At 38.4% G+C, this 24,644-nt stretch overlaps 1 protein-coding gene across 12 annotated transcripts in view, besides 1 other annotated feature; it reads left to right on the plus strand.

Moving 5' to 3' along the window:
• Positions 1-24,644, plus strand: part of CCSER1 (coiled-coil serine rich protein 1) — a 1,477,902-nt gene that overhangs the window by 958,855 nt on the left and 494,403 nt on the right. The window contains exon 12 of one of the 12 annotated variants that reach the window (XM_011531941.3): positions 750-24,510. The exons of the other annotated variants lie outside the window; for them this stretch is intronic. Within the exon in view, the coding sequence (XP_011530243.1) occupies positions 750-785 (36 nt within the window). The 3' untranslated portion in view covers positions 786-24,510. Of the gene's footprint in view, positions 1-749; positions 24,511-24,644 lie in introns of those variants that run through there. 12 annotated transcript variants of the gene reach the window in all.
• Positions 13,161-13,964: an enhancer, noted in NCBI's record as "OCT4-NANOG hESC enhancer chr4:92020560-92021363 (GRCh37/hg19 assembly coordinates)". NCBI's record gives its function as "activates a minimal SCP1, AML or CMV promoter by ChIP-STARR-seq in naive H9 embryonic stem cells {active_cell/tissue: H9 hESC(naive)}" and the evidence as "EXISTENCE:reporter gene assay evidence [ECO:0000049][PMID:30033119]".

Raw genomic sequence — 24,644 nt, forward strand, 5'->3', positions numbered from 1 at the left:
GTTATAATGGATTTCTGTAGCAGCAGGTCCTTTCACAGGGGGCAGAAACATTACAATGCAATTTTTAAAACTGACTTACTGAGAAGTTAACAAAATTCTAACAATGCAAATATTTTATGACATTTGGGATTCCTCATTTTCCTGTCAAAGGCTTTTGGCATATGCTACTAGGTTGGTATGCATTATTAGAGAGTATGAAGTTGCTCTGGTAAAGCTAGTAATTTTAAAACTAACTGAATGTGAAGACTTAACATCACTTAATTTTTTTTCCCTGCTAAATGTATAAATGCTGTACTTAACTCTGTGATTCAGGTTGCTGGGAGTTGTGGGAAGGGTGGAATATTTAATTCAGTAAATCAAAACATTCTAACTGCACAAAAAAAATCATTTTTGATGATACTTATATTGCAATTTTTGTACAAAAGTGAAGGTATTTTGTTCTATACAAATGAGGAAAAAAATCTTACTGTCCTCTCCATTTGTAGCTTCCTTTCTGTATAAACAGATTTCTTCCCTATAGTGGTGCTTGCCAGCTTTCCTTTATGTTTTAATTCCAGTTGCATGATTTTAGTATTTGACATTTTAGTTCCTAGTGAATTTGTCATTTAAGGTCTCTTTCCATTTTCTCAGATATTTTCCATCCAGAAAAATCTATTTTTATTTAGGAACACATAAAGTTGGTTCACATTGATGGAAGAGCTAGATGAAGTGAAACATAGATAAATCTTTAGATATTTTTCATGTTGTAGGAGAGCAAGATGATAAGAATATGGTCATCAGTATGACTGGGGAAAAAAGGCACTTCATAAGGAAGATCTCAGAACCTTTTACAGCTTTGTGAGAATGACTGCTTTCATTCAGATGTAACCAAAATGGATCTACTTATAGAAAGAACTAAACTGATCACCTCCTAAAGTGAAAGTTTTCATCCGAGCAGTACTGCTACAATTTATTTCTGCTGATTTAGTGCCTTTAGGGACATACTAAGTGGAGTTACTCGGCTTCTCCTTGCTGCTTCCTGGTCTAATAGCAACTTTGTGTCAAAAGAAGGAAAACTGAAATCTATATATCCGTACGATGGCATTGCTAAATGGTGCCAAATTCTGCATTTGTTTTACTAAGATTTTTATAGTTTTTAATGTTATTTTTAAATGCATAATGATTGGGTTTTATTGAAAGAGTGGCTCTTAAATCATATTGCTTATTTTTCTAACGTCCTTTGATTTTATTTTTATTATAAGTGTACTTATAAGTAAGGAACATGGTAAAATGTGTTTAAATTAATTTTAGAAGTATATTGTTCTCAAAACTATTTTGTGATTTCTCTGAAGGTCAAAATTGTAATAATTTACAATTTAATGTATACATCTCCATAGAAGGGACAACACTGATTTTGGCCTTCTCCCTCAGGGTAGTGGAATAATTGTAAAAAGCTAAGATCATCAAATTAACCATAATCCAGTAATGTCTTCTGCACTTGACATCTCTAATTCATGACCAGAAAGTAAATGTCAACTATTAAAATTCAAAACAACTACTTAACTTCCACTTAGGGCAGCACTGGGTTACTTAAGCATATTTCTATTCAATGTAACTACTTACCTTAACTTTCCCTGTGACTAAGAGGCCTAGTATGTTCTAAGATAAGAAACTTCAGGGAGGTATAAGACAATTAGGTGAAGTATGTTGTAAAAACTGTTCTTTTCAAGTCTCAATGGTAGATGACCTGTAAACAAAGAGTACAATTACTATGTTAAGGACCTTGTGATCTCACTTGCTTAAGAAATGGGACGTGTATGTATCTAATTTCCATTTGTTATGTTCTAGGATGTGTGTGCATAACAAGATGTACAATGTAATTCTGATTATGTTAAATTGAAATGTGAGGGTTTAGAAAACTCTTACTCCAAATGATTTCTTAGAATTTCTCATTGTAATGCTATTATGATTGATAAATGACAATAATTGTTTATTATGATGAATTAATTTCTTAGTTCAAATGACAGCTATTCCCCATAGGTGTTGATGGATGCAATATCAAGGGCTTATTACCAAATATTTATAAGAAGATTTAAGAAGTGTCATTTAAAATATTCTATTTACTTATTGAAGTAATGAAAACAGAGTATTCATAGAAAATGAAGTAGACAGTAATATGCTATTTAGCTAAGTGGTAAATACCATTAAAAAACGAATTGCCAGACAGGAAGGCTAGATTTGAAACTATATGCTGTATAAAAATATAAGTTAAGGAGAAGTGATTAAAATGTAAATTACTTTTCTGAAGGAAATAGAGATAGGTAACACCTAAATTGCTAAATTGTGAAATATACAAAAATAGTTATTAGCTGTATGAAATAACCCCATTTATATTGGTATTTTTACATTTTTATACGTGCATATTGTGTATACAATTTGAGGGGGCTGATTATAATAGATAATAAAAAGCTTGTTTAAAAAGGGAGATTAGTAGAATGCTATACAAAATGTGATTGTTTAACAGATATTTCTAACTGATTATAAACAATTTTCTTGCATCCAGTGGGATTTTGCAACTCATAGAAAAACCTCAGTGAAATTCACTGGGTAAGACACATAGATAAGTCATTTTTTTTTTCATTAAGTGTGGATAATACTAAGTTACTGTAATTTTTCTTAAAAGACTTTAAAATACCTTTGTTATTTTAGGTAGTTTTTTTGTTTTCCAAAGGCCAGTTTTTGTTTAAGTATTAAAGCTTCTGTGTGTGCCTGTAGCAGGACGAGCCATGGACAAAACCCCACAGACACCGAGGTAGTGAAGGAAGTAGCTTTTAATCAGCTGAAAGCATCAGCAGACTAGCATCCTAAAATCCGAGCTTGTTGAGTGCACAATTTCTGTCCCTTTTGAGGGCTCATAACACTAAAGATTTTACATGAAAGGGCCGTGATTGATTGAACAATCTAGGCGGTATGTGACAGGGGCTGCAAGCACCAGCAATCAGAGTGAAACAGAACAGAATGAGAAGCTTCAGAGTGTCCTTCCATACAATGTCTGGAATCTGTGGATAATATCGGTTGCTAGGTCATGGGTTGAATTTTAACTATCAGGCTAAGGTCAGGCAGGCCCAGGCCTGGTTTTGGGTCTGGTGCCTGGCTCTGGGCTGCCTGCCTTTGGTTTCACTTCCTTGTTTCTTCTTAAAGCAGGTACTGAATATAAAACAATATAAAACAATATGGGGGGATCTCTTTCTCTCTTCTTTCATTTCCCACCTTTGAGACTCTCACTCATTTTATTAGTGGGAATTCTCACTTTCATTTTCACTACTTATGTCTTCCCGTGCAATAGATTGATAGTGATTCATATAATATACTTGTGCTGAAGCATTCTGGTGAACTAAGGTAATGATGAAGCTTTTTATCATTTGAAGAAGTACAGGTAGCAAACAAGGGAGTAGTAAGCAGGTTCCTATTACTATTATAACTCCTATGATAAGAGTTTTAAATCCTCCTATTGCTGGGAACCAATTTCCAAACATGGCCCCAGGATCAAATCCGTGCCACACTTGCATGGGTACATGTGCCAGTTTTGTTATATCTTTAAATATGTCTTCAACTACTTGCCCTTGATCATCTATGTGGAAACAGAAATTAGTAAGGTTAAATTTTCCACAAACTCCTCCTTCAGCTGCTAGCAAGTAGTTCAGAACTAGTCTATTTTGGTAGATAGTATTCCTTATCTGAGTCTCTTGCTGGGCAAGAACAGTCAAGACTTGACAGGTTTTATTAGTAATAATTTCTAAAACAGCTTGCAACCGTATGATTCAGTTGAGCATGAAGATGGGGGTCCGATATCCCCATGAGCCATCTTGTGCCCAAGTGGTGGGTCCACAGTATTGTATAATTCTTTCAGGGGGCCATTCATCATCTTTCCAGTTACCTATGGCTATGCTTCATTTTTCGCGGGAAGCATAGACAGGGAATCCTAGGAGTTTGTCTGTTTTTATGGGCAGTAGGAAGAAAGGTGGTGTAATAGTGCCAATTACACAGCTACCTGTCCACTGATCAGGTGGCTTAGCATAGGCTCTATGTCCACATATCCAGTATAACCTGCTGGGGGCAATCCAGTCCTGGCGGAATTCTGGGTGGGCTCAAACAGTCTGCAATTTTGGAAATTTACTGAATGGATTTCTTTCTGTGTAATTGGAACTCCACCATGTAACTGTTTTTGTGGTACCATTATACAGTTTTTGTCCAAGACACCTAAGCCTTACTACAGGATGAGTGAATTCTTTTCCTTCTCTAGCTATGCAATATTGTCCAATAATTGAGGCTTTTAGAACCCAGAAATTGTCAGGGTGGTTCTTTTGGGCTGGGAATTCATCAGGAACTGGGTCTGCAGGAACTAATTCTTGGGCTTCCCATGGCCACTGATCTCCTGTTACAGTTCCTCCACAAACATACCATTAAGTGACTTAGACACTGAGCTACATGCTCGGCTAATTGCAAAAACAAATTTCTAGTTTTTCCTGGAATTTCAGGTACTGGCACATTTAGTTCATCATAGAAAGTCTGAAATACTGGCTCTGGAGAGCATTTTCGAATCTCTCCTTTTATTAAAATATTTACCTCAGGGTCTAGTCCTTTTCCATCAATGCCTGGAGATACGTACTCTCCTTTTCTCCATTTTGGGTCCAAGGGGTTTGTGATTACTAATTCTTAAAGGTTGCAGCTTCCACTCATGCAGGAGGGGCTTCCTTTCCCTTTTTGGAGCCAAACAGGATCTTCTTCATCCTTTTCCCAAGTAGCCCAAATGACACATGACCAGTACCCACATTTTTTTCCACACAATCCTACAGATGTACTTATTTTCGGTCATGTATCTTTTTTCCCAATTAAAAGAGCCACATCCTGCTCCTAGCTTATTTCTATTAATGACAGCACAAGCGTCAAATTATAAGATTATGCGTTTGGGCACCCCTTTTTCTTCTGTTCTGGCTAATACTTTACTTGTATCATTTATGAGTCCTCACTAGTCTTCAGTCCTTAATCTGATTTCAAAAACTATGGAAATGGGAGGTTCAGAGGGGTCATAGCACACGTCGGGCTGGTCACTTCCTGGATTACAGACTTTGTACTGAGTGTTATTATACAAACATGTTCCTTTTGGAATTACTAGGCATTCATAATAACTATAGAACAAAAAAAATTGTCTTAACGTGTTGTCCTACCTCAGTGACCTGATATATGCACTGAAAGCAGTCCTCTGTGTGGGAAGAAGCAGTGGAAGCTTTTACCACACCAGTCCATGTTATAAGGAAAATAAGTCCCACGACTATTTTCCTCATGCTTCAGCCATGCGTAGACCAGTCAGCTTCCGGGTGTGACTGGAGCAGGGCTTGTCGTCCTCCTCAGGGTTACTTTGCAGGGATTGTCTAGGCTTGGTTTGGCCTCCCAGGTTCCAGTGGCTGCGGGCTTTATGTGGCTGTGGTGAATCCAGGCTGGAATTCCTTCTACCTTCACAGCTGTGGGAGTGGTCAGGATAACGGTCTTGGGTCCCTTCCACTGTGGCCGTAAGGGAGCTACATTTCAGTCCTTGATCCACACACGGTCACCTGGAGAAAAAGGGTGAACTGGGGAGAATAAGCTGACTGAGCACCTCTCATTTACCCAAGTTGAGATTGTCTGGGTAATTTTCCCCAAGGCCTGTAACTGTCTCTGCAATTCAATTTCATCCAACTCTTGGGGAGTACCTGGAAGTCCTCGCGGTATAGGAGGAGGCCTATGATATAATGTTTCATAAGGGGAGTATCCTGTTTTCTTAGAGGGGGTGCACCTAATTTTAAATAATACCATAGGAAGGGCCTGTATCCATTTTAATCCTGTCTCTTGATATACTTTCCCTAAACTATTTTTGATAGTCTGATTCATTTGCTCCACCTTTCCGGAACTGTGAGGTTGGTAGGCGGCATGTAGCTTCCAAGTGAGTCCCAATACCTTTGCTGTCCTCTGTACTAAGTCAGCCACAAATGCTGGCCCATTTTCTGAGCCAATCCGTAGAGGCAGTCCAAACCTAGGGATGAGATCTCAAAGAAGCACATGGGTTACTTCATGAGCTTTTTCAGTTCATGTTGGATAAGCCTCTACCCACCCAGAGTAAGTACACACTAGAACCAGTAAATACTTGTTACCTCTGCATTTGGGCATCTCTGTGAAGTCCATTTGAAGATCTTCAAAGGGAGCTGCTCCATAGGCTTGTATGCCAGGAGGAACAGAGGGGCCTTGCTTTGCATTGTGCTGTCGACAGGTAACACATTGCTGTGCTGCTGTTTTAGCAAGAGCTGGCAAGTGTGAGATGTAGAAATACTGGCTGAACAGCTTTTCAAGTGACTCCTGGCCTAAATGGGTAGTTTCATGTACAGCCAGCATGACTGCAGCTCCTAGCAGCTGTGGCACAGCTATTCTTCCATCTGGTAACTGTATCCACCCTTCTTTTATTGTTTGTCCTCCCTCTGCCTGAAGAAAGTCTTTTTCCTCTTTAGAAGAAGTAGGCACCAGATCAGGTGTTTGAGGGAGTAGGGGGGCTGTGACTGATGCCCGGTAAGGAGTAGATGCTGCTTTTCCTGCCTCTGTGTCTGCTCAGGGGTTTCCTTGGCTCACTGAGGTGGAAGCTCACTGGTGTCCCTTGCAATGCATGACTGCCACCTTTTGGGGTTTCCATACTGCCTCTAATAATTGTAGAATTTCTTGTTGATATTTTATGTCCTTTCCCCCGAATTTAATAGGCCTTTTTCTTTATATAATGCTCCATATACTTGAATGGTTAGAAAGGCATATCAAGAGTCAGTATAAATGTTTACAGTCTTACCTTCACTAAGTTCTAGAGCCCGAGTTAAAGCAATGAGTTCTTCCTTCTGGGCTGAAGTGCCCTGAGGCAATGGTTTGGCTTCAATAACATCATCCAAAGTTACCACCGCATATCCTGCGCATCTTTCTCCTCGTGGACTGATGAAGCTGCTCCCATCCACGTATAACTCCCAGTCCACTGATGCCCATGACTGGTCTCGAAGATCGAGTCTGCTAGAATACACTGAGTCCAACACTTCCACACAGTTATGTTCAACAGGGCTGTCTGATACTGGGAGTAAGGTTGCAGGATTCAGAGCGTTACAGACCTCAATGGTTATGCGGGGGTTTTCACATAGCAAGCTTTGGTACTTGGTTAATCTAGCATTTGTTAGCCCATGGTGTCCTTTGGTATTTGTTAAAGTCACCACCACATGGGGGACCTTTATACTTAAGTTTTGCCCAAGGGTTAGCTTGTCTGCTTCTTATGCTAACAGGACTGTAGCTGCCAGGGCTCTCAGACGTGGAGGCCAGCCTTTTGAAGCTCCGTCTAGCTGTTTTGAGAGGTAGGCCACTGGTCTTGGCCAGGGCCCCACAGTTTGGGTTAAAACTCCAACTGCCATTTTTTCTCTTTCTGACACATAGAGTGTAAAGGGCTTTGTCAAATCTGGTAGTCCTAAGGCTGGGGCTGACATAAGTTTTTCCTTTAACTTGCAAAAGTCTTGCTGTTGCAGAGGTCCCCATTCAAAAGGCTCCCAGTTGCCCCCCTTTGTAACCCCATACAACGGTTTGGCTAGCACTGCAAAGTTTGGAATCCATAATCTGCAAAACCCCACAGATCCTAGAAATTCCCTTACTTGCCTTCTGGTTTTAGGTTTCGGTAAGCTGCAGATGACTTGCTTTCTTTCTGACCCCAGGCTGTGCTTCTCTTTCCGAATAGTGAATCCCAGGTAGCGTACCTGCTGTCTGCAGATCTGAGCTTTCTTCTTGGACATCTTATACTCACAGTCCTCCAGGTGTCGAAGCAGGGCATCCGTCCCTTTGGCATACCCATCTGCCGTGGAGTGTCCTAGCAGAAGATTGTCCACGTACTGGAGCAAGACACAGCCTAGGTCTTTAGCAGGAAACTTCTGGAGGTCTCGAGCCAACACCTCCCCGAAGATGGTGGGGTAATTTTTAAACCCCTGGGGAAGCCGAGTCCAAGTGTACTGAGTAGTAACACCTGACCCCGGATCTTCCCACTGAAAGGCAAACAGCTTTTGGCTCTCAGGAGCTAGTCTGATGCTAAAGAAGGCATCCTTCAAGTCCAGACAAGTGAACCAGCTGTCCTCAGCTGGCAGCAATCCTAACAGTGTGTAAGGGTTAGGAACTGTTGGGTGTAGAGTCACTGTAGTTTGGTTAACCAAGCGTAAGTCCTGTACAGTTCGATAGTCCTTGGTCCCTGGCTTGGGGACAGGTAGGAGGGGGGTGTTCCATGGAGATTGTCAAGGAACTATAATCCCAAAAGCTTTCAAGCATGTAAGATGAACCTGTATTCCTTCAAGATCTTCTCTGGGAACCGGATACTGCTTTTGTCTAATTGGCTGAGCCCCAGGCTTAACTTGTATGAGTACTGGGGCTTGATTGATCGTCAGCCCTGGAGGATTGTCCTCCGCCCATACTCAGGGCCATCGCTTAGCTAGAGCCGGTTTTATCTCCTGACCTGGCTCGGTTAGAAAAAGTCTCCATTCTTCTTCTCAGGGGACTGTAAGGGCCATGATAACTCCTGTTCCTGGTAACTTCAGTTGTAAAGAGCCCTGTTTTGTAAAGGAAATGGTGTCTCTCAGCTTACTAAGCAAGTCTCTCCCTAAAAAGGCAAGGGGCAATCAGGTATATACAGAAATTGATGAGTCACTTTATGTCCTCCCACTGAGCAGGTCCAAGGTAGGCAGAAAACCTGCTTGGCGGAGACTCCCGTTGCTCCAATTATATCAATGGTTTTTTTGATAAGAGGGCCACTGGGGTGGTTACTACTGAGTGTCCGGCACCAGTATCAACCGAAAACTTAATGTCCTTGCCCCCTATTGTCATCCTGACCATGGGCTCCTTGGAGGCATTTGAGCCCGGTCCCCTTCAGTCTAGTAGCCCTTCGAACAGATTGAACAAAGTCCCTTCGTCTTTATCTGTGGTCTTTTGCTGTGCGTCACCTTGCTTCTCCTTTAGTTGGAGACACTTATCTTTCCAATGTCCTATTTCTTTACAGTAGGCACACTGGTTACACTGCACATGTGAGTGATTGGACTGGGCATTCCTCCTGGAACCCCCCTTTCCCTGCCCTTTGGGGGGGATCCCTCTAATTGCCACAGCCAGCAAATCAGTGTTCTGCCTGGCCTGGCCTTCACCCTCCTTATGGCTTTCTCAGCGGCTTGTTACATCTCTATTTACAAATACTTGATCAGCTATCTCCCGTAACTGCGAGGTATTCATCTCTGCAAAAACAGCCTGTTTTTGCGATTTCCTCCGGATATCTTCCATGCTTTGGCTAACTAAGGCCATGTTAATCATATGCTGATTTTCAGGACTATCCGGATCAAAAGGAGTGTACATACGATAGGCCTCACACTGTCTTTCATAGAATTGGTCTGGGCTTCCCTCCTTTCCTTGGATGACTTCAGAAACTTCATTTACATTGGTGGCCTTCTGAGCCCCTTTTTTCAGCCCTTCAATTAATGCCTCCCAGTATCGTTTTAACCTCTCCATATCTGGTCCTTCATTTGGATCCCATTGAGGGTCTGTTCCTGGCAGAACAATTCTTATGTATTCCTGAGGATTTTGGTAATCAGCTGGGACATGGTCCTCTAGCCATTTAGTTGCCACCTGGAGTATCCTTCACCTTTCATCTGTGTTAAAGATGTACATGAGTAGCTGGTGGTGATCAGCCCAAGTAGGATTATGAGTCTGTATAATAGTTTGGAGCAAGTCAATTAGAGCTTCAGGCTTTTCAGTGTAAGATGGAATATTATTTTTCCAGTTGAGGAGGTCAGCAGAGGTGAAAGGGTAATATAAAAAGCACACCTTTCCACTGTATGTCCATCCTCATCTATCCCAGCATATTGCTGCTTTCTCAGGGGCATTTGGATTCCAGTATTGGGCCGTAAATGGGCCGCCAAGGGAGGAGTTTCTCCTGCAGCTTCTCTTCCTTTCTTGTCTACTCTGTGTGGTCTAGGGGCTGTGGGCTCAGGAGTAGGGGGCCTTTCCACTTGGTAAAGGTGGGGCACTGTTGGTGCCATCTCCTGCCATGAGTCTTCAGGCTCTGAATCAGACAGAACTTTAGGGGCTGGCTTCCCTCGGCAGGTGGAGTGAGAACTTTCCTTAACTAACTGTCCCTTTGCTACTAGTACTGCTGCTGCCTGTCCCCTTAACCACTATGGGGGATCTAAAACTAGCTGTAACCAGGAATCTATATATGGGAACTGATCTGGGTGTCCTGGCTTGCCAGTTACTTTATGCCATACCTTTGAAACCAGAGACCTGTCCAGGCTTCCTTCTGATGGCTAACTTACCTCTAATTCGGGCCAATCTATTTCACACAAAGTTCTTAGTTTTCCTGGAGTCATAGTGACTCCATAGTCTCCTTTGAATCCTTTCTTGAAATTATTTAACATAGTTCCCAATGGAGTGGGCTTACATTTTGCCTGGCCCATGTTTTCTGAAGACAAAATATCATGCTCACACCACACACTCACCACAAAACAAAGAACAGGTAAAGAGGGCACACACACACCTTTATCGTTTATACCAAAACAAAATCAGAGTACCAAGAAATTCAAGCCAAGTCAAAACCAAAACCAAAGTATCAGGCAATTCAAGTCAAGTCAAAACCAGAACAGAAGTGCCGACACAGGCACACCGTGGGTGATCAGGCCACGCTTCCACTTAAATGGAGTGGGCAAGTTTCAAAGACATGTCTTACCAAGTTTCAGATGTCCGGACTCCAAGTGCCAGGTCCTTCCCAGTGTCCAGCCGGTGCCTGTGTGCACAGTTTTTTAATGGCGGATTGTCTTTATTTTTACCCTACCTCAAAAATGCCCAACCATCGGTATTCTGAATATTCTGTATCACAGGTCTAAAATCACATGATATGTGACTTTATATCATGATGAAGAGAACTAATAATTATGGTTGAATATCTAAATCAGGAATAAATATTTAGCTTCTGAAATTCTATTGAATGTGATAAGCTAATATGAAAGACACTGGCTATTGGAACTTTTGGATTAAGGCTGTTATTGGAAGTTACAGAAACTCAGGAACCATAGAGGCTATGCAAATGAAGTACAAATGTGTAGTGATCAAGGATCACTTTTATATAATTTGCATGACTCAGATCTCTTAAAGTGATGAACAGTCTTGGCAGGGATAATGTTGATCTTATTAATCTGAAATTCTGAAAAAAGGTTAATATTGGTACACTTGAATATTTTAGATAGTTTATACTCTTATAAAACTGATTATAAAAATGCTTCTTAAACATCAGAAAGAGAATTAACACTTTAGATAATTTCTAGAAGTATTTAGAAATATGATCAATAACTTTATAGACATACTCATTCCATTACTGCAAAAATCCCCGCTTGTGTTTTGGAAATTTTTCAGTTGATGATATTTGTGTGATCATGCCATTGATATTTAAAAATCCCACTTTTGTTTGTGGGATTGCAAGTACAGATAGATTCTTATAGACACTTAGGAAAAAAGTGTACATTTTAAATTATTAAAATAGATGATTTATGAATGTATCATTCTCAAGAAAATAATGAGCATATCTTATAACCTGTTATCTGTTTTAGAGTCCAGAATGCTTCACTAACTTTCTCTGCTGGATTACAGTGTGCTGATTCTCCATTTTCTTTGCTGAAAACCATAAATAGGAAATTACTGATGATACAAACCTCAGAGACTTAAAGAAACATAATTAGAGACAGTTGAAAAAGGCAGATTGAAAATCAATGTTTAGTTAAGTACTCTTTTCCCAGCCCTGTTTTATATTTACATTCATTAATCATTGAAAATAATACTTCAAGATTCTTTATTGATGTAAAGTATCATTTGAATATATAACATCCTAAAGAAAGGAATTATTTTATTCTGATAGTGGACTTTATGCCTTTGCTAATAGACTTGGATAGACTTTGCATTGTTTATCTTTTGAGGAATTAAATATTTCTACTTGAAATTGAAAATCATTTTAATTCTCTCCAAAAGAGAAAATTCTGAGAATCAGATAAATTATATTCTGAATTTCAAAGTAACTTGCCAACCTGCAACATTAGCACAAGAATGATTTCAACTGGAACAAAATAAAAATCACAAACAATTTCTCTTTCCATTTATAACTTAATTAGAATTATGAATCAGACTACTTTAGGACTAGGTTATTGCTTGAGTTAAGCAAAGTCACTCTTTTCTCTTGCCCAAAAGATCACTGGAGATAATTTTTTTTTTTTTTTGAGATGGAGTCTTGCTGTGTTGCCCAGGCTGGAGAGCAGTGGTGTGATCTCTGCTCACTGCAAGCTCCGCCTCCCGGGTTCATGCCATTCTCCTGCCTCAGCCTTCTGAGTAGCTGGGACTACAGGCATGTACCACCACGCCCAGCTAATTTTTTGTATTTTTAGTAGAGATGGGGTTTCACCATGTTAGCCAGGGTGGTCTGGATCTCCTGATGTCGTGATCTGCCCGCCTCGGCCTCCCAAAGTGCTGGGATTACAGGCGTGAGCCACCGCGCCCAGCTGAGAATTGTTTTTTTAAAGGGATAAAAGAAGAAAAATACACAACTTCCAAGACTAGAACTAAAATTGAAGAAAATGTACTATTCTTGGAAATAAGAGTTAGCAAAAATCATTAAGCACTATTGTTCCCTTAAGGTCTAGTATTTTGTATAATTTGGAAATTATAGGAGATAACTATACTTATTTTATAGCCTTGTGCATTGAATAAAAAGAATCTTCCATAAGAAATTGATCATGATTACAAGTTTTCTTTGATAATTTTTGTGCAAAACTTGCTTCTACTTGTATGTTTTCTTTATGGTCTAATATGCAGAATACACTATCTTGAATTTTTCTACTTCAGTTCAACTTTAGAGATCCCATTCTTAGTTTCTGTATAGTTTAGTAGAATAAGAAAATCTTGTATAATATCAGTGATGACAATTTTTTGGGAAATATATAGAATTTTTCAGTGGTTTGGTGCCTATAGCCCACCACTAAGATGTATCTGATGAACAGTGTGAATTTAAGATCAAGAGACCCTTTAAGGACTCAGTAAAAAATATCTCAAAACTCAGAATTGATAGGCAATAAGGAGAGTAAACGATCTTTATACTTATTGTCAATGAAAAGGGTCAAACTCTGTAAAATATTTGAAGAGATTTATTCTGAGCCACATGAGTGACCATGGTCCATGACATAGCCCTCAGGAGGCCCTGAGAACACATGTCCAAGGTAGTTGGGGCGCAGCTTGGTTTTTTACATTTTAGAGAGGCATGAGACATCAATCAAATACATTTAAGAAATACATTGGTTTGGTCCAGAAAGGTGGGACAACTCAAAGCAGGGGGTGGGGTGGGGACTGCTTCCAGGCTATGGGTAAATTTAAACATTTTCTGTTTGACAATTGGTTGAGCTTATCTAAAGACCTGGGATGACAGAAAGGAAGTGTTCAGGTTAAGATAAAAGACTGTGGAGACCAAGGTTCTTTTGAGGTCTTATAGTGGCTGCTCTTAGAGACAATAGATGACAAGGGTTTCCTATTCAGATCTTTAAAAGGTGCAGACTTAGTTAATCTCTTTAGGCTTGGGAGGGCCAGGAAGAAAAAAAACTAGCTATGTTAGTAGAGATTCTTTACAGATGCTGATTTTCCTCCACAAAAGACAGCTTTGCAGGGCCATTTCAAGACATGGCAAAGAAACATGTTTTGGGGTAAAATATTTTGATTTTCTTCCTTGTCTTGTAATGTTATGCCAGAGTCAGGTTGGAAAGTAAGTCACAATATATAGAGTTAAATAAAACCCATCTGATGAGAATTTATGATTTGTAGGGCATGACTCCCCAGACCCTTTATATAGGAATTTGGGCAAGATAAAAAAAAAATCAGTTTGGTCCTCATTATAAATCAACATTTAATTAAAAGAACTACACATTACAAGACCATAATAATTGTTCCTGTTTCAAAAGTTTGTTGAGAAAATGAGTTAATATGCATAAAGCTCTTTGAGTAGTGTCTGGCACATAGGAAGCACCCAATACATGGCAACAGTTACTATTATTATTATTATTATTTATATAATCAGGTCTTTCCTTCATATTTTCTTCTGTCAGAGAGTGTTTGAGTGTCATGCTATTCAGAGATTTTACTGTCTGCGTTGACTAGTCCACACCATGACAATCAATGATATCCTATGCCAGGTCTGATTTTTAAAGGATTTTACATTCCAAATCGGTTCTGAGGTAGCAAATCCCAAATATGGCAAAAAATTCTACTTTGGAATCTTTATTTAACCTCAAATATTCTATTTCCACATGTTATATTACAGATGAGAGAAAAAATATTTACCTTTTCTACTTATGGCATTGTTTATTGAAGGCAGTGCTTAAGGACTATAGGTTTTGTAAGCTGTTTTTCACATCCTATATATGTTCTGGGTCATCTTCAGATTGGATTTTGAAGATCTCTTCTATGTTTGTAGATCACTGACCTTCCAAGAAATGACCTCAAAGAAACCTGTTGATCAAGCAAAACTAAGCTTAGTAGATCTACTTCAGTAAGAAAGATCACAGTAGTGTCTCAAATGGGGAAAAAAATAACAGTACACTCAGTTTAACTTTTTTCTTCTTCTTTGGAAGTGTTTGACTGGTTATCTGGATCAGATATATGCCTAGAGTAGGCACATAGTGACAGAAAAATACTTTGCAAGACAAACAGGAAAAAAAAGAGAGAAAGGAAGGGAAACAAGTGAGGGGGAGCCAGCTTCTGACAGACACAAAATCACTGTGGGATGATAAAACAGCCTTAAATATAAGAAATCCATTACATACATAGACACGCACATGCATAGAAAGCCACACAAAATAATACTTACAACAAGATTAAGCAGTAATTTGAGCACTAATCAATTACATGAAGAAACAGTTCAACCATCATGTTTCCAAGATAGAGTTCCCCAAAAGGGACACTAATTTAAATTGTACCTGGTAGGATTATGCCAGTTGGAGACATACACACATAAGTTAAACTTAAAAGTAAGCAGGAATTTGACCTGAAAGGTCAAAAGAACTGATAAGAGCACATGAAAATTTTGCTGGGGCAACCTCTTAAGAACCTGGTTTAAGACCAGGTTGAGCATGGTGAAACCCTGTCTCTCCTAAAATACAAAAATTAGCTGGGCATGGTGGCATGTGCCTGTAATCACAGCTACTTGGGAGGCTGAGGCAGGGGAATCACTTGAACTCGGGAGGCGGAGGTTGCAGTGAGCTGAGATCGTGCCACTGCACTCCAGCCTGGGGACAGAGCAAGACTCCGTCTCAAAAAAAAAAAAGACCAGGTTGGGGGCCTGACAAACCCTCTACCTCCAAGCAAAATAAAACTAAGTGGAACAAATGAAGACAAGATTGAGAAAGGTTTTGAAAAGGTAATCAAAGTAATTTGTCTAAAGGACATCAAGAACTTCTGAACTCCTGAGTCTTTAGAACTATACCTCTTAGTGACTCAGAGAGTGACAAAAACAAACAGTAGTGTCCTAAGTAACAGAGCAGGTTTCTCATCACGGATAAGTGGATTTGAAGTTGATTAAATAATCAAAGGATTACTTAAAAAGCATTCTCATTCCTAAGAGGCAGAAACTTTGTATTTGAGAGACTGACAAAAATAAATTTAGACCCAAAGCAGGATTTTCCTCACTTTTGCAGTCAGACAGACCCCTGAATGGGGGAGACTTATGAGGCCTCAGAGAAACATGTTTCAGACAGAGGAGCTCGTGCAGATCGGTTTCAATTCACCCCGTGTTATAGCTCTACAATTTTTTCACTGTTGATGCCACAAAAGACCAGAATGAAAAAAATCTGTTGATTGAACAAAGCTAGGTATGTTAGATCCCATGCAATAAAAAAAGAACACTACATTAACAAAGTTTCTGTAAGTCTCTAAATGGGAAAATTAAGGGAAGATATTTTGTAAGATGTTAAAATCCAGGCTGGGTTAGTTAAAGAGAGGTATTGCAAGGTTGAGAATAGGCAGGGATTAGGCAGATTTTATGACATTGTAGCTTCGTACAGCAAGGTTAGAGTTTGTGATTTCAGGGTTCTGAAATGAAGCATATTTTTCTTGTTTATGTCTTTTCTTTTTAATCTGGATATAAGTAAGATTTTGTAGCTTTACAGCGGATTTTACAAAGAGATGAGGACCAAGAAGGATTACAGTAGAAGGATTTTGACTTTTGAATCAATATGCATTTAGATGTCGTTTTTATAAGGCACATAAGTTATTTTTAGAATCAGTTAAACCTTGGAGATATTTTTATTTGAAAAGGCAAAAAACAAATGATAATATTTATTTTGCTTCATCACATATTTATTTGAAAGTATATTCATAAACAAACTTACAGTGTTTTTGTGTGTGCAACTGATCATGTAATTATTTCTTGCTCTTTAACTATGTCAATTAATATAAAAGAAAATACTACTCCAGATGGTTGAACTGATTCAGCCTGCTTTTATCAGAAAAGTATTTATTCATATCCAAATGAGGTTGAACTCTTATGATTCCCTTCTTAATTACAAATAGAAGCTAATTGCCACCTCAAAAATATAGAGAAGAAAACAAACATTTTCATTATTTGATACTTATCATATCATAGTAAGATTTTTTTTCTGTTTTGGTTTATATTTTCATATTGAACAAATAATCCTTGTGTAAACTATCTACACTTTTTAATTTTTGGCATTGCTGTGTAACGTATTTAGTTCCTGTAAACCCACAACGGAAAAACACTGCTCTTCTCTGGAGAACTTTGCTGCCCTTCTCTCAGCTTGGAAATAGATCTCCAAATTTCTTCCCATTCCTTAGTCATCTCTCCTTCGAGGTCATTTATTTGACATTAGGTCCATTCTCTGTTCACATCCTATCCTCCAAGCACTTTGAAACAATCTCCAGCCATTGGTCGTCACTCAGCCCCATGAAAGATGAGCACTTCTGATGAGTTTTTACCATTGTCCTTTAATCATACCAAAGGGGCCCCTCAGTTCCTTCCCAGTGATCACCACATCCTCACCTATATGTCATCGGAACCTTTTAAATAAGATTACCTAATAATGAAAAAAATGCATTTCTAATTTTTTAGCTCCTAAGAAACATTGTGTTGTCAAACTATTATATAAACAATTGTCTCAATTAGATTAAAATCCAAGAATTAGAGACTGTTGCAGGAAGTCAGGGACCCCGAATGGAGGGACTGGCTGGAACTGTGGCAGAGGAACATAAATCATGATAATTTCATGGACGTTTATCAGTTCCCAAATAATACTTTTATAATTTCTTATGCCTGTCTTTAATCTCTTAATCCTGTTATCTTCGTAAGCTGAGGATGTATGTCACCTCAGGACCACTGTGATAATTATGTTAACTGTACAAATTGATTGTAAAACGTGTGTTTGAACAATATGAAATCAGTGAACCTTGAAAAAGAAGAGAATAACAGCGATTTTTAGGGAACAAGGAAAGACAACCATAAGGTGTGACTGCCTGCGGGGTCGGGCAAAAAGAGCCATATTTTTCTTGTTGCAGAGAGCCTATAAATGGATATGCAAGTAGGAGAGATATCACTAAATTCTTTTCCTAGCAAGGAATATTAATATTAATACCCTGGGAAAGGAATGCATTCCTGGGGGGAGGTCTATAAACGGCCGCTCTGGGAATGTCTGTCTTATGCATTTGAGATAAGGACTGAGATAAGCCCTGGTCTCCTGCAGTACCCTTAGGCTTACTAGGGTTGGGAAACTCTGCCCTGGTAATTTTGTGGTCAGATCGGTTCTCTGCACTTGAACCCTGTTTTCTGTTGTTTAAAATGTTTATCCAGACAATATATGCACCACTGAACATAGCCCTTTATCAGTAGTTCTGCTTTGCCCTTTGCTTTGTGATTTTTGTTGGACCCTTATCGGTAGTTCTGCTTTTTGCCCTTTGAAGCATGTGATATTTGTACCTACTCCGTGTGCTTACACTGCCTCCCCTTTTCAAACCCTTAATAAAAACTTGCTGGTTTTGAGGCTCAGGTGGGCATCACGGTCCTACCGATATGTGATGTCACCCCTGGCAGCCCAGCTGTAAAATTCCTCTCTTTGTACTATCTCTCTTTATTTCCCAGCTGGCCAACACTTATGGAAAATAGACAGAACCTATGTTGAAATATTGGGGGTGGGTTCCCCCAGTAAGAGACTTTCAGTCTTATACAAGTCATAGTTGTGTTCAAAATAATAGCTTTAAGTAGAATTGCTACTATACACTACATTTGTCTGCTCAAGCTGCTATAACAAATTACCACCAAGTAGGTGACTTTAACAGCATCATTTTAATTTTTCACAGTTCTGGAGGCTAGAAATCTTTTATGCCAGCTCAAAATCAGCAGGTTTAGTTTCTCCTCAAGCCTCCCTTCTTGGCTTGCAGATGACCACCTTCTTGCTGTGTTCTCACATGCTCTTTACTCTGCTTATCCCTGGTGTCCCTTTGTGTGTCTAAATTTCCTAATAAGGGCAATAATCAGATAGGATTAGAGCCCAGCCTAACAGCCTCATTTTATTTTTCTTTTTGGTATAAATTCATGTGGTACAGGTGTAATTTTGTTACATGCATAGATTGTGTGGTGGTGAAGTCAGGGCTTTTAGGGTATCCTTCACCTGAATAATATACATTGTACCCATTAAGTAATTTCTCATCATCCACCTACCTCCTACCCTCTTACCCTTCTGAATCTCCATTGTCTATCATTTCACTCTTTACCTTCATATAGAGTTTAGCTCCCACTTATATGATAGAACATGAAGTATTTCTTTTCTGTGTCAGATAATTATCCTTCAAAAGCCTTATCCCCAAATATAACCACATTAGGAGGTCCTGGGGGATAGGGCTTTACCGTATAAATTAGGGGAGGACATAACATACACTACAAGTAATATGACTACATCATCTGTTTCCCTCAAAAAAAGGGCTTCCTCTTTGCCCTCTGCTATTTACCCAAGAGCTTCTTGTTCTCTTCAATAACTTTGAAACTTGATCACATTCAAATTCCAACCACTAACAGTAAACAAAAAAAAAAAAAAATAGGCCAGGCACAGTGGCTCATGCCTGTAATCCCAGCACTTTGGGAGGCAGAGGTGGGCGGATCACAAGGTCAGGAGTTTGAGACCAGCCTAGCCAATATGGTGAAACCCCATCTCTACTAAAAATATAAACATTAGCCAGGTGTGGTGGTGGATGCCTATAGTCCCAGCTACTCAGGAGGCAGAGGCAGGGGAATCGCTTGAACCTGGGAGGAGGAAGTTGCAGTGAGATGAGATCACACCACTACACTCCAGCCTGGGTGACAGAGTGAGAATCCATCTCAAAAAAATAAATAAAAATAACAAAATAAAAATAAAATAACCCTTGTAAACAGTTCCCTGTCTGCAATTATGATATTCCAAGTGCTCTGAAAACTGGTTTATTTTTTCCTCAAAGGGAGGCTCAAGCTAGTTTGATGGTAAAAACCTGTCCTAAACTAAAAGACCTACTTACGGTTTTTGTTTTTTTTTCACTTCACATGAACATTTATATGTTTTGCTGCAGAAACATCAAAGTGTTTTGTACAGCCTGCTGCTCCAAACCTTACTGGGGATATTTTTAAAATGTGGTAAATGCTCTGTATTATTATCTGATAATCAAAGTAATTCTGAATTACCAGATACATTTGACCTTCAGAATGTTAGATAAGGAATTGTAGGACTGTGGCAAGATACATTTCACTCTGAACACTAGAAAAACAGGGTCCTGTCTCTTCGCCATAAAAAATGAGTTAGCATTTACTATGTGCTTATCATGGGCCAGGTGTTGTTGTAAGCACTTTACACATATTCAATCATTTAATTCTCCAGTAAACTTTAGAAATAGTCACGATTATTCTCATTTTAATACAGAAGAAATGAAATCAGAAAGTGTTTGAATAACTTTCCCGAAGTCATAGTTAGTAAGCCCAGGAAGCCAGAATTCAAAGCTAGAAAATATGTCTCCAGTGTAAAACTTAAACAATACACTATGACTTATAAGGAGAGAAATTAATAGACATACCACAACTGAATAATTCTGGACTAATGGCATTCCTTGAGAGCATTAACTAATCTCCACTTAACTAAACACTTCTATTCTCTCTCCCTCTTTTTCTACTCTTTCCCATGGTCTGTCTATCTTGCCTACCTATTCATTGCCTATAGGTGTTATCTCATCCAAGACATGACTATAACTACTATTTTGATGTGCTTTGGAATTGTTGGATTACAAAGAATAGAAACTTATGTGTCAGGTGCATCCATTTGGTCTTGGTCTCTGTCTTTTGGAAAATGGACAGTTATTTATTCTATTTCTCTTTTCTCAAATTCCACACCACTGTACTCTGTGCAAGCTAGATAGCCTCTTTACTTTTTTTGTTTGTACTTTGTCCTCCATGATAACCTCCAAATGATGGTATCAGCTATCTACTCTATAGATGAATTATAACTTCTAATTATTGACAATGTGGTATAATTTTCCCAGGTTCAGCTACATGATTCAATCAAATATAGCCGTGTGCCACAGAATGACATTTTGCCCAAGGATAGACTGCATAGATGACAGTGGTTTCATAAGACTGTAATGGGGCTACCCTATACTGGTGTATTTTTTTTATCTTTGATAACATATTTTCACTGTAGCTTTTCTCTGTTTAGATATGCTTAGATACACAAATATTTAACACTGTGTTACAGTTGTCTACAGTATTGAGTCTAATAACATGCTGTACATGTTTGTAGCCTGAGAACAATAGGCTATACCGCATAGCCTAGGTGTATAGTAGCCTATGCCATCTAGGTTTGTGTAAGTCGAATCTTTGATGTTCACACAATAATAAAATCACCTGACAATGCATTTCTTTTTTCATTTGAGACAGAGCCCCGCTCTGTCACCCAGGCTGGAGTGCAGTGGCGTGATCTTGGCTCACTGCAACCTCCACCTCCCAGGTTCAAGTGATTCTCCTGCCTCAGCCTCCTGAGTATCTGGGACTGCAGGCGCATGCTACCACGCCTGGCTAATTTTTTTGTATTTTTAGTAGAGATGGGGTTTCACCATGTGAGTCAGGATGGTCTGAATCTCCTGACCTCGTGATCCACCCGCCTTGGCCTCCCATAGTGCTGGGATTACAGGCATCAATGCATTTCTTAGAATGTATTCCCTTGGTTAAGCAATGCATGATGGTAATTATGCTTTAGTAACAGGAATTTGTTTAAGAAAAAGGCATTTTCTTTTTCTCTTTTTTTTTTTTTTTTTGATGTTTGAAAAGAAGAAAAAATTCGAATGATAAAAGCACCATTTAGCCTATCTTTTACATTTACCACCAGTAATATAATAGAAGATTCTCATGATCTGGAAATATTGTGTGTGGGAAAGACATTAAGGCACTGTGGTTAGGGAAGTTATGTCAGTAATAGCCCTTCTAGAATTAAGGTTGGGCAGTGCTGGGCTACCATTTCCATTTTCTTTTGTTATTTTTTGATCAGTAGGGATTGAGTGAGGAAAATAAGAAATTTGCCTGAAACAAGCAGTTTGTAGACTCTATCAGCTTTTCCTTTTGATTTTCTCTTGATTTCTGCCATACCGATGTCCTGACCATCATTGAAAAGTTAGCTTCTCAGTTATCCAAGTAGACATCCAAGTCTATTTCAGTGAAGTGAGGTGAAAGTCTTATCTTTCATTGATTAAAAGCAACTAACCCTATGAAGAGAGACAAATGTTAACAATATAGTAAATTAAAACAGTTCTCTATATATTACTGATCCAATGTATATCTAATCCATTGTATTTCTTAAATCAAATCATTGCCAATATGTGATTCCTGATTGTGGCCTGTAAATCTCTTTTGTAAGCTATAGAGACAGGGATCAGATAATATTCTGCAAATGAAAATTCACAATATATTTGCTTGTCCATTTCTATATGGCATTGGGGTAGATAGTCACAAATAGAACTTTGAAGAGTATCCTCTAAAATGGTTGAGAGAAAATATATGGCTTATTCGAATTTGTATTTTTATTTGTAATTACTCAGAATGTTAGATTAAAAATGAGCAAGTTAATGAAATACAGCAATTTTAACTCATCTGCCTATTAACTGATACCATTGTCAAACCAAATCATAAGTGTTCTCCTATGCTTTATATAAAAATAAATTGAAATGCAGATTTACTTTATACTCTGACGTATAGTACTTAAAAAATTTAACATATTTGTTGAAACACAAGCAGTCAATTTTAAGGTTCTGTGCATACTGTATACAACCTGTTAGCCTCTTTTTTATCAAAAATAGACAAGTGTTTCTTTATTCATTTCTTGCTTCCAATGGTGGCCTATCAAAACTGTTGCTTTCTCCTCTGACAAGTTATATTTAGTAACTGTGATGGTTAATTTTAGGTGTCAACTTGACTAGATCAAGGAATACGAAGATAGCTGGTAAAGTATTATTTTTGGGTATGTCTGCGAGGGTGTTTCTAGAGAAGATTGGCATTTGAATCAGTAGACTGAATAAGGAAGATCTGCCCTCACCCAGTGTGGGTGGGCACCATCAAATCAGCTGAGGACTCAGATAGAATGAAAAGGCAGAAGAAAGGCAGATTTGCTTTCTCTGTTCCGGAGCTGGGGCACCCTTCTTCTCTTGCCTTGGACATCAGAACTCCAGATTCTCTGGCCCTTGGACTCTGACTTGTAGCAACACCCCCACCCCATTCTTAGGCATTTAGCCTTGGACTGAGAGTTACAGCATCCATTTCCCTAGTCCTGAGGCCTTTGGACTAGGACTGAGCCATACTATTGGCTTCCCTTATTCTCCAGGTCACAGACAGACTAGCAAGGGTCTTCTCAAGCTCGATGATTTCTTCAGCTAGTTCCCCTAATATATCCCCTCTCATCTATCTATCTATTGATTGATGTATCAATCTATCATGTATCTACCTACCTACCTTTCTACCTACCCACCACCTTATCTAACCTGTCTCCTAAATGTTCTATCTCTCCAGAGAAACCTAACTAATACAGTAACTTATTAGCCCTAGTATATTTTCTGGAAGCAAAGGTCCCAAAGATTATTGAGGGTAGGTAGTCCTAAGTTAAAAAAAAAAAGTGTCAAAAGTGTAGAGAGATCAAAAGCATTAAGTAAAGCAAATTATCTTCCAATTTTGCCTTGAAAAGAATATGACTTTTTTAATGAATGACTTTTGATGGAATAAAACAGGTGATAGTCATGTTGAAAATAATAGTTCAAGAGTTGGCAACAAGAAAATGAATGTGAAAAGTGTATTTAAGAATATGGCAAATAAAGGAATTTAAAACAACTAGATGCTACCTGGAGAATATAGTAACTTCAATATTCATTTCAGAGTAATTCATAAATGTTTTAATGTAGAACTCCAGTCAAATAAAACTGCTAAGATTTAGGCATTAATGGAGCCCATGGTTTCACAAAGGGTCATAAAATAATTTATTAGAATTTTGTATATGTTGTATTGTTTTTCAGACAAAGACATCTATGACACAAAAATTCATTAAATTATCTCAAAACCAAAGAATGATTATATAATAGAAGGCAGGATAGTATATTAAACTTTTTATATAGCACGTATTTTGGAGCTTCTTATACAAGTTCTGCCCTTTGCTTAGATTAAAACTAAGCAAATTAAAGAAATTTAGCAATTTTAACTCATCTACCTGTTATCTGACACCATTGCCAAACCATATCATCAGTGTTGTCCTATGCTTGGTTATGTAAAAACTTAGTGAAATGTAGATTTACTTTATATTCTAGAAAAATGGAATTTAAAAAAAAATTAACACATTTGTTGAGACACATGGAGTCAGTGAGCAATGTGATGTTGAACAAGTTGCCTATCTTTTCATATTTCAGTTGTTTCTTCACTAGGAAAAAAATAAACTTAGTGCTTGCTCCTTATAGGATTGTTATGAATAGATAAAATAAAATTGCCTATAAAAATGATGACCTCAATATCTGGTACCAATAAAAATACTCACTAGGAAAGTTTTAAATACTGTTGTTTCTGTTACTTCACTTTGAATTAATAAGACAGTAGACATTCTACTCACTAAGTGTAAAGCCACTTACTCAACACCACATCCCACACTGAATAGTGGCCTATTCACGGAGAAACTTCTCAGGAATTACTAGTTGCAAAAATAGTACTTGACACTTATTTCTGTAATATTGTGCTTATCACATTGTACTGTGACTTTTTGTTTATCTCTGTCAGTCTGTCAAATAGACTATGAGTTCCTAGAGAACAATGTTTTATTCAACTTATATTCATAAAACCTAGTATGGCTTCTAATATGTAGTAAGTACCCAATAAATGTTTGTTGAGTTGAATGTTGTTTCTTCTTTAAGATCATTAAGAGTTGGGTTTACAGCAAATGATACTGGTTTCTTTCTGCATACATAGATCATTCATTCTTCTTTTTTTTCCTTTTGCCTTTCATATATTATATTTTGGGGTCATTTAG

This window comes from Homo sapiens, chromosome 4, assembly GCF_000001405.40.
Source record: "Homo sapiens chromosome 4, GRCh38.p14 Primary Assembly".
NCBI lineage: Eukaryota > Metazoa > Chordata > Mammalia > Primates > Hominidae > Homo > Homo sapiens.